This window comes from Homo sapiens, chromosome 1, assembly GCF_000001405.40.
Source record: "Homo sapiens chromosome 1, GRCh38.p14 Primary Assembly".
Lineage (NCBI taxonomy): Eukaryota > Metazoa > Chordata > Mammalia > Primates > Hominidae > Homo > Homo sapiens.
Window position 1 is genome coordinate 188,078,459 of NC_000001.11, and position 11,866 is coordinate 188,090,324.

Genomic DNA, 11,866 nt, shown 5'->3' on the forward strand with positions numbered 1-11,866 from the left:
CTTCCCCTACTCTCTTAGTTTAGCTTCCGAACAACTATAGAATCATTCTGCCACTCACAATGCCTGCTATTACTATTAGAACTCAAAATCACATGATTTCTCTATTTTACTATGAATTGCATTAAAATTTCAGAGCTACATATAAAAAACAATTCTCTATCAAGCACTGTCAAATACAATATAAAATCCTAATATTTCACCACAAATATATCAGAGTAAACCAAAGTAAAACACAACACATAGAGTTGAAACCCATGTGTGTCTCTCCTCATTCTCATTTCTTTCCTCTATCTCTCCTTCCTCTGGTATTATCTCTCACTCAGATCACTGCTGAAGATTCTAACTGGGAGTTCTAGGCTCTAGGTCTGTTCATCTTGCATCACTTATTCACATGTATGCAACATTGAGCTACTGTAAATAAAATCCAACTAGGTCAGATCTCCTGGTTTAAAATTCTTCATTGTTTCCCTGGCTCCTATAGCAGAAATCTTGAACTCCTTGCCATGTAATTTATCAGATCTGAGACATCTCTCTTTGCTTCTGTTATAATTCATGCTTTAGCCCTACAAAAATGCTTGACATAAATATAAAAACACACATTTAGTAAAATGTCATTTAATAGTAATCAATGAGTAGTAAAATGGGAATTGCAACCACAAGGATTAACTAGAGGGTTTCCATTAATAAACTATGTGATGTTAGGCAGATTATTTAACCTCTGAGTGCTTCAATATCTTTTATATGAAATATGCAAATCAATTATAGCTGTCACAAAATGCAAACATATATACAGGGAGCATTTCTGAAAGAAATGTTTAAATATTTAAACAAACAGTCACCGAATCAAAAACTTGAAATTTGCATCTGTAATTTTCATCTTGGGATATAAATAACATTTGTAAAGTACTCATTAGGCTATATGATTTATTTATATTGCCTTCTAAAATCTAGTTGTTATTAATACCATATTATGGATGTGGAAACTTAAGCTTAAATTGCTAAGTTTATTCTATTCCTTAGTCATTCAATCAGTATTTATTGAGTACCTACTTGGTGCTAGAAAACTTCCTAGGGAACATGTATAATTGGAAATAGGTTAGTAATACAAGGAATCACGAGTAATTTATGGGCTCAAATCAAGCTCACATGGGTATTACTTCAAAGTTTTATACCTCAGTCTGGCCTCAATAGCAGATGACTAGGCAGAGAATCATGCTTAGTAGAGATTTATTTTATTTTATTTTATTTTATTTATTTATTCATTTTTTTTGAGATGGAGTCTCACTCTGTGCCAAGGCTGGAGTGCAGTGGTGCCATCTCTGCTCACTGCAAGCTCTGTCTCCCGGGTTCAGGCCATTCTCCCTCCTCAGCCTCCCATGTAGCTGAGACTACAGGCACCCGCCACCACGCCTGGCTCATTTTTTGTATTTTTAGTAGAGACAGGCGTTTCACCACGTTGGCCAGGCTGGTCTTGAACTCCTGACCTCAGGGCGATCTGCCCACCTTGGCCTCCCAAAGTGCTGGGATTACAGGCGTGAGCCACTGCGCCCGGCCAGTAGAGATTTTTTTAAAGCAATGTTTCTTCAATTTTCAGTGTTCTTTGAAGTGACTTGAATATTCCCTCTTCTATGCTTCTAACTGCCAACACCCTAAGCTCTCATTGCTTTGTACTTGGATAAGGCAGTGACTGCCGGATGGGCACTCTTTCTTATCTTCACTTTACAGTTCATCCTGAATTGCAAATCCTGAAGGCACATTTCAGTATGCCATTCCTGTGCTCCAGGCTGCTCCATAGCTTTTTATTTCACAGCAGGTATTCCAAATGTCTCATCCTAAAATTCAAGGCTTTTCATTATGTTAGTCTCTCAAAGCCTAGCACTTAAACCTAGAATGTATGTCCCTTTTTTTCCATTGAGGCAGAGCCCCTTCTTATCCACTATTTCCCCTCTATTTTAATTTCCTCCACTGCTAATTGCATTTCCGGGAGAAATGTTCCTTTCTTCTATTTGCCTAACCAAGTTGTATACCAATACTCTAGTTCCTATGAAGTCATACCTCTATTATGAAGTTTTTTTTAAAAAACTTCAAATCAGAATGCTCCTTCTTACTTACCAAATCATAGAATTTTAGAACTAAAAGTAGTTGTTGAATTTTTATCCTACTGCTTAATTTTTAAATGTGAAAATCAAGGACTGGAGCGACTGTGATTAGCTACCTACTTTTTAAAACACGACTATTATATATCAGTAAAGTAATTTTCTAAATAAATAATAATTCTCAAGTTTTCATATTTCCAGTTCAGGGATTTTTTTAATACTGTCTTTTCGTATCCATTGGTTTTATTATGTTATATTGGTCTGTAATTATTGCAATGTTGTTAGATTTGTTTTCCCTCTAAAGGCTTTGAAAACTACTGGAAAACTGGTATAACAGCATATGCATTCCTTAAATATGCATTCCTGCATATGCAGTAGTGTCCAGTCTTTGGGCTTCCCTGGGTCACATTGGAAGAAAAATTGTCTTGGGCCACACATAGAATACACTAATACAAATGATAGCTGATGAGCTAAAAAAATGCAAAAGAATCTCATAATATTTTAAGAAAGTTTATGAATTTGTGTTGGGCCACATTCAAAGCCATCCTAGGCTGTAAGTAAACCACAGGCTGGCGGTTGGGCAAGCTTTAAAGTGTCTATTTAAATACAGTGCCTTGATTTTTTATTCTATTATTTTCTAAATTTTTAAATTTGTTTTGGTACATAGTAGGAGTATATACTTATGAGGGTATATGAGATGTTTTGATACAGGCATGCAAAGCATAATAATCACATCATGGAAACTTGGGTGTGCACCCCCTCAAGCATTTATCCTTTGTGTTACAAACAGTCCAATTCTACTCTTCTATTTTAAAATGTACAGTTAAATTATTATTCACTATAGTCCCCCTGTTGTTCTATAAAATATTAGGTCTTATTCATTCTATTTTTTGTGCCTGGATTTTTTAAAACTGAAAATTTACCTGAAGTAATTTTATAAAAATTGCTATTAGACTTTACTTGGCAAAAAAAGAAAAATATCCAAATCATGTAAGTTGAAAATATACCTACAGGTACTCATTTTATCAAACAACACTCCTCAAAAGAAAGAAGGTAATTTAAAAATTTTATTTATTTATTTTTAAGAATCATGTTTAAGGAACATGATTAATATACATTAATATACTTCAAGATAATTTAAAACAAATATAAATATATTTATCTTATAATTTGTTTACATATATGATATAACTTCCTTAATGTATGAGAATAAAATATTATTAAATATCCATTGGAATACTTCTGCATTTGACAAATTGTACGTTGACATGTACATAATATTTTTAAGAAATGCATTTATATAGGCATATATTGCTGTAAAAGTTACCATTGATCTGTGAGTTGAAATCCAATAAAATAAGCGGGTGACATTTAAAAATATCAGAAACATTTTTAAGACAATTTTTCAAAAGCTACACAATAATGCTTATATTCATAATTTAGGTATTTGTCTTGGCATAAAGATTAACATCTCTCTATATAATTTCTTCTCATTATTTCCTACAAAATTGAAGAAATAAAGTATTTGGTATTTCATTTATTTAGATCTTCTTTCACCCAGAAATTATTGAAAGTGAGGGTAAATAAATAGTTTAATTTAAAATTCACATACTGCAGTATAACATAAGGTTCTTGTTTGAATTTTACTGTTTGCCATGCATTAAAAAGCACTCATTTTAAGGCTATGGAAGATGCTCACGTAGTATCTCTAAGCACCTATTTTTCAGAAGGATTTGTGGCTTCTGTGCCACAGATGATAAGGAATTTTATTGTTCTGGCTTCCATACTCAGCTTGACCTATTCCATCCTAAATAAGCTAATCCTGGAGAGAGTTTTGCTTCAAGTGTAAAATGATCAACACAAGAATGGAAAGTAAATCTACCACCACACATGTAAATACTGATATATAGGCCATAGTAGAGCCTTATATTCATATAAATAAAGTTTCAGATCATACTTCTCCCTAAAATCAAGACATCCAATTTTAAGAACTTCTGTCCTCATCATTGGTAACGAGTACCAGAAACTGATGTTACAGCATATAAAATAGTTCTTTTTAAATATCATGCAACTCTTACCAATGTTTTGATTCAGTGATAAAATTATGGAGCTTCATAATAACCAGGAAAATGCAGTGTTAAAAACAACAATAAAAGGCTAGCAAGAAATTATAAATATGTTGTTAAGGGCATTGGCTTCTTTAGGGCTTGCTCTCGTAACTGATACCAAATGGGAATTCAGAGTCTAAAAATATCTTCTTTGGTAAAAGGAAAGTCTTGGCCAGGAAGTAAATAAGCTTTTCCCTTAATTCAGCACATCTCCCTAAATACACTATTATCACCTACCATCTGGAATGAAGCTTCCACCAACTAATGACCTGCCTCATTAAATATCAGGAAGCAAAATCCACATTCCTAAGACCACCCTGAGCTGGAATCAATCCTGTTCTAAAAACCATCAACTTTTAATAAGAGATACATCTAACATAGGGCTTACAGTCATACCAGCCTAGTTATAAGTACAAAATAGCCAATATCAAAGTTGTTTTGTATGAATATAGATACATTGGTATAGAGAAATAGAAGAACACTTGGCACACAAACATTGGGTTGCTTCATTAGCATTTCTTTTTACTTTAAGCAAGATTTCTTGAGGGACATCTTTTCTACGTTGGAGTAAAAAATACGTTATTTAAACTTGAATTTTTTTTTCAGTAAGTGAAACCTATATTATTCAGCCAAATCCTTAAGCTTGAGTTAAATAATTGAAACAGAAATTTAAAAGTTATAACTAATGGATATTCAGACATTATACATTTCTTACCCAAGTGTTATAATAGGGACCTACTATTTTAAGTGACACTTAAACATTTATAGTTGACTTATAGACCATAAATTTTAATGATCATAAATTTTGATTTACACAATTATTGAGTTAACAAGTCACAAAGTTAGTCTATTTTTATAAAGGTAAAAATTAGGAATCAGATCAAAACATTGTGAGGTGCCTTCTCAGATGTTATACCCATACTTTCTATTCTTAAGTTTAGAAAATAAATAAAATTCTTACTAAATCTCTTCTCACTTTATCAAAAATATTTTGCAGGTTGTCCTGATAGGAAATTGAGGGAATAATAGCTGTTCCTTTGGACGAGGATCATTGGTGCTATTCATTCCAAATGTGACTTTATGTAATTAATTATCAACTTCAAACCACTGCCATTGGAATCCTCTTTTGTTGCACTTTGTCCAGTATCAAGTCAGTGGGAGAATGGTGGAGATCTGTGGGGACTGAAGCAAACATACATGGCTTTTGAGGAAGAGCACTTTAGATTTTAAACTGATTAACATTAAACATCTACTGCTTTTATCATATATGTTTTAATCCACCTATAAAGAAGTACTATTTGCAGCACACATACACATACATGCACACATACATACATTATAAATTTAGATAATATATAACCAGTAGTTTTACAATAAATTTGTCTCTATGCCTGCATCCATGACTCCAGTAATCAAGAAATAAGCATATTGTTTGTTTCCAATGACAGCTTAGCCTCAGATTTTTGTCTGTGACTCTGTTTTCTTACTCTGATGAATAAATGGTCTTGTAGAATCTGAATTTGTCTTAAGAGCATAGATGGCACAGAGATTGAGTTGAATAATTCTTAAGTGAGGATGTAATTCCTAGTACAAAAAGCTTGTCACACAGAATATGTTGAACCTCTTGCATATCACAGAACACCTTGTATAAACAATTCTAATGGCAAACCTGGGGCACATATTCCTCCCCTAAATTCGGAAGGCATAGCAAAAGTATTGTTATAATATACTATTCCTATATCCTGATTTAAATAAATTAGTACATATTTTGTAATAATAGGAGCAATTAATAAAACACTGAGAATTCCTAAAGTAAACCTGCTGAGTTCTAGCCTCTTGCGATTTATAAGAAAAGATAAAGTTTTCCATATTAAAATAAGATTGAATACCAGGGTTTAGGAACTGAACACTCAGGTATTATTCTGTGGGTTATGAATTAAACATATCTAGGAATGTCATCATAGATTAGATTTGTGCACAGTCTATGCCACAGTACATGGCAATCATCTTTGCTGGTGCCACTTTGGAAATTCAAAATGACAGCCTATCAGAAGAAAGCTTGTAAGAATTTATCTGAAAACCACAACAGCAATAAGATTTCCCAAACATATTGAACAATCGAATTGTGCGTGTGTGGGTATGTGCGTGTGTGCGCTATACATAGGTACATCTTACAGAACTAGTTTTCCTTAAATCAAGTTTTAGCAAAAATGCAAAACATTTACATAATCACCAGATGCACTGAAGAAGGTAGGTTTTATCTGTCTTTGTATAAAAACAGCTATGGGGAACAAGAGATAAATTATATATATAAAACTATATATTATATAAAAATATAGATAATATATTATATATATTATAAAATATTATATTTATAAAATTATATATATTATATTATATAGCATAAATTTTATATTATATATAAAATTACATATATATAAAATATATATATATATACACACACACACACACTTAACTTGTATGTGCCTCATATTGTTCATGTAAAAATGAAAATAACTTTATGGCCACTGTGAAATTTAAAGATAATATGCATAAGACATCTCACTCTGTGACCATGATAAACTCTTAATAAATGGTAGAAATTAATAAAAGTAGTAAATATTTTTACAGTGCTGTAACTAAGTATCTCATTATTTACCCCTACTTTTAAGTCATTTTGGAGCTTCTGTAAAGTGTTCATTTTGAATATATTTTTTAAGACATATGTTATCTTTTTGATTCTGTTTACTGAATGATATGATCAATCTTTCCCTCTCCAGTGGATCATTTTTGGTTGATTATAAATATCCTCTAGTATCTCCCAACCCAAAACATACATGCTTTTTCCTTATGTCCATCAGCTATTATTCTCTTCTCTAATTTCTTTCACAGCCAAAATTTCTAAGAGTTGCTTATTCTGTCTCAATTTCAATTTACACCTCACCCTAAAACATTTCAATTTCTACCCAACTCACTCCACCATAAAGTGCTTTTTAAGGTTTTTTTTCTCCTACTGTTTACTTTGATGGTTCCTCCTCTGCTCAACACCTAAAGGATGGATTACTGCAGTATTCAGTGCTTGAGCCTCTTCTCTTTTTACATCCACTTCCACATGATCTTATTCAAGTCCATGGCTTTAAAACATATATTAATATGCTGTTAGCGTATATATTTATTTCTGTAACACAGACTCTCATCTGGCATGTAACTTAAGCTTCCAGCTGCCCATTTGACATCTTGTTTGTAGAATCTAAAAGGCATTCCAAAAACCACAGGGCCAAAGTGGAACTTTTGTATGTCTCCCACCACTATTATCACTATGTTGTAGACATATATCCAAGTCAACCAGCTGGTTATCACTATCTGTGGAAAGGGCATCACCATCTATCTCCCTATCAAGTAACTTTGAAAAGTTGGTGTCCCTTTGATTACTCCCTCACTCTCAATCACTTCCGGGTACCCAATATATTCCATCGGAAAGTTTGATAATTTCTGCTGCTTAAATATATCTCTATCCTACTTATATATCTTTTTGTTTCTACTACATTCATATTACCAGTGGTTTTCTATATGGGGTTCAAAGGCCACAAAGAGATCCATGGATATAACTTCAGTTAAATATAGTTGATTTGGTTTGGTCTTAAGTATTTTATTTGATACATTTAATAAATGATCTTGTTTTAGTCTGTTCTCATGCTGCTAAGAAGACTGGGTAATTTATAAAAAGAAGAGGTTTAATTGACTCACAGTTCTGCATGGCCAGGAAGGCCTCAGGAAACTTATAATCATGGCAGAAGGGGAAGCATGTCCTTCTTCACATGACAGCAGGAAGGAGAAGTGCTGAGCAAAGAGGGGAAAGCCCCTTATAAAACCATCAGATTTCATAAGAATTCATTTATTATCACAGGAACAGCATGGTGGAAACTATTCCGTGATTCAGTTACCTCCCACTGGATCCCTCCCACAACACATGGGGATTATGGCAACTACAATTCTAGATTAGATTTGGGTGGGGACACAGCCAAACCATATTAGATATTCTGAGACTTTGTCCATTCATTTGGCCACACTACCATAGGGATCCTAATTCTTCTTGAGAATTGATTCTTTTGTTTTTGTTTTTGTTGTTGTTTATTTATTTTGAGAAAGGGCCTCATTATGTTGCACAGGTTGGCCTCGAAATCTTGGGCTTGAGGTATCCTCCTGCCTCAGTCTCCTGAGTATCTGGGACAACAGGTGGATGCCATTGTGCCCAGCAAATTATTTTGACTTATAATTCATTCTGGATGACATTTTATATAATAGGACTACAGTTAATGTTGGTTTTATTTTGCTTATCTTGGTTGTTATTGTGATTGACTTTTTAAAACTTTTTGTTCATGTTTCTTTAGCATTTCTAATGTTTTTCAGCATGGTAACTAAATACTTTTATATAATATAAATGCTAAGGTTACATGGTAGGCATTGTTCATGGGCACCATGCTATACACCTATAAATTAAAATCAGTACAATCATATCCAAATGAATACAATTATATCAGGTGACAGAGTTGTTAATAGCTCAGAAGATAAACGGTTTCACCATTGCTCAGTAGATAAATTTCTTCTTTCCAAAATGTGATTTAAATATCAATACTTCCCCAGCACTTTGGGAGGCCGAGGCAGGCGGATCACGAGGTCAGGAGATCGAGACCATCCCGGCTAAAACGGTGAAACCCCGTCTCTACTAAAAATACAAAAAATTAGCCGGGCGTAGTGGCGGGCGCCTGTAGTCCCAGCTACTTGGGAGGCTGAGGCAGGAGAATGGCGTGAACCCGGGAGGCGGAGCTTGCAGTGAGCCGAGATCCCGCCACTGCACTCCAGCCTGGGCGACAGAGCAAGACTCCGTCTCAAAAAAAAAAAAAAAAAAAAAAAAAAAATCAATACTTCATTGCCTATTTAGTGTTATAGTGTACCACCCCAAATTCTTCATTAACCTAGAATTTTCCGTTAAAAAGATAATATGCCACAATCATTATTTTAGAAAACGAAAAAGCAAGCATTGGTCAGAGCACTTATCCAAACATTCTTCTTACCTGAAAAATGGAGAGCTGAAGAGAAGTTCTAACTTTTTCCTGGACATGGTATTCACAGACACAGTTATAAACCGTCCCTGCAGAGTTATAGAAATGATTGGCTTCTTTGTTCCCTGTGAGAATTTTTTTCCGTTTCTACTCCTTGTTGTTTTATTCCTCTGAAAGCTTTTAAGACTTGTTTACTTACTCACCTGCAGCTAAAACTTGTTTTCATAGGTAGGTGGTAAGGCTTTCTTCAGAGCCAGTTATAACTTTTTATTCTTTAAAAGAAATCACTTTGATTTTCCCCATATTTAGAATTATAATCTTCACATAGTATTTTCAAGATTAATTTATGTATTTATCTGAGGGTTTTCTTTGGTTTTGTTAAAGTTTAGCATTTGGCTGGATATTTATATGCCAACATTTTTCCCCTTTTTCTGCATGTTATCCTAATACTTTCAAAATACGAAGATATATGTGAGTGAAAGTCATCAATTGGCTTTTTATTTTTAGTCAATTTCTAAAATCTTGCTGTGGAATCCACTATCTGAAGGAATTCAGCTATATGGGGTATTTCCATAATATAAAATCCCCATTGTAGAAACTGCTTTTGAATTATTTTATTAGTAAGACCTACAAGATTTATACATATTCAGTGGTTATGAGTGTTGGATTATTTTGTTGTGTGATTTAGTAAATCAATGGACTCTCGTGTATAATGTTTATTTTAAATTTATTTGATTAAGCTCACAAAACTCAAACAGTACAATTAAAGTAGATTTAGATAGAACAACACTTGCAAAGAATGTTTTCGTGTTAAAATAAACATGCTATATTTTGCAAAATGTTTGCAATAATACCATGGACTGCATTATATTTCAGCAATTACTGAGTCTTTTATTTAAAAATACAGGTAGCTTAAAATATATACAGATAGATATTTCCACTGATTGCAGGTAGCTATAATAATATCTCAAAATTTTCAGCAATGTCTTAATGACTAAATATTGCCAGGTATTTTAATAAGAGTTTTACTCCATTTTTGATGTTTGCTGACAACTATCAAGCCTCACCTCTCCCTCTTCCCATCTAGACTCACATGTGATAACAAAACAAGTAACAACAACATATCCCCTCAAATATTCCTTCCTTTCATTCCAGCTAAAATTCAAACCATGTAAGCCCCAGAGGGTAGGCAGAAACCCTCACTATGTTTTCATAAAAAATATATACATTTAAGAGAAACAATAGATTAGGCATGGGATAAAGAAGAACAAAAATAACAAAAGTGCATTTTTTTCTTTTTCAAGCTACAAAAAACACCAAGACACTAGCTACTCCCTCTCTCTCAAACTATTTTCAAACCTGCTTGAGAACCTGCCCTCCTCAGAAAGTGAAGCCGACTCACCTCAGAAAACTTCCCTCCGAATAATAATCTTTTCATACCTTCTTGGTGCATGTGTGGCACCATCATATCAACATCTAAACCAGCGGGGGACTGATCCTGCCCTCTGCATGTCACCCACAGCATAGATAGCAGTCTTTGCAATGTCAAAATTTCACCCTGTTTTCTACTTTTAAATATTGGGATTAAAACATGTAAGACTTCTGATAACATTTGTTGTACCTAACAGTATGCTAAGCTCTTTGCATAAGCTTAAGATATGCAGACTCACCAATTTCAGGAAGATGCCAGTATCTATATGTGTTTAGCTAAAGTGTGCTTCTTGAATTGCCTGCAGTTTAAATTACTTAGGAGTGCTTTATCATAAGGGCAGATTCTGGGGAAATACAACAGATCTCCTGGAACAGAATCTCTGAGAATGTGGCCTAAGAATTGATATTTCTAGTGAGAACCTGAGGTATTTACATGTGTTTTAGTTTGAACCCCACAGGACTTGCATAACCTTGAAAACATCTGACTGCATCTATCCAATCACATTTATTCACTGACTTCCTGCATCTATTCAGTCACACTTCAGCTGTTTCATTTAAGTCCTGCTGTGTTTTTCTGTTTGTTTGGTTTTGAGTTTGTTTTCATGTAAATTAGCTTAAATATCTTTGTGTGCTACAGTTCTAGCCAGAAAAAGTTTCTTAAAATCCTTAAACTTCTGTGTGCCTTTTTTTCCCTATTATTATATGCATTCCATGAGAAAGAATAGATTAGGAATGAGATTAAAAAAGAACAAAAACAGCAAAAGTGCATTGTTTTTCCTTTTCAAGTGATTTGAAGAACAGTTAGATTTCTGATGTTTTTTAATTGCTTGTTTATATAATATATATAAATATATAGTATATTATATATACTATATATACTAATATATATATACTATATATATTACACCTATCTTTGAGGTTAACTAAATGTTCTCTAATAATCACAAAGATTTATTAATTTATCTTGAGGAAGGTATTGACAATAAAGTAATTAGGGATGTTTCGTATTCACCATATTTCAGTTAACTCAATAACAACACTGACTTACTATTAAGAAGAGAAGGAGGCTGGGTGCAGAGGCTTACGCCTGTAATTGGGAGGCCGAGGCGGGCAGATCATGAGATCAAGATATCAAGACTATCCTGGCCAACATGGTGAAACCCCGTCT

General features: G+C 33.6%; 1 annotated feature.

Moving 5' to 3' along the window:
- Window positions 10,939–11,492: an enhancer, noted in NCBI's record as "OCT4-NANOG hESC enhancer chr1:188058528-188059081 (GRCh37/hg19 assembly coordinates)". NCBI's record gives its function as "activates a minimal SCP1, AML or CMV promoter by ChIP-STARR-seq in primed H9 embryonic stem cells {active_cell/tissue: H9 hESC(primed)}" and the evidence as "EXISTENCE:reporter gene assay evidence [ECO:0000049][PMID:30033119]".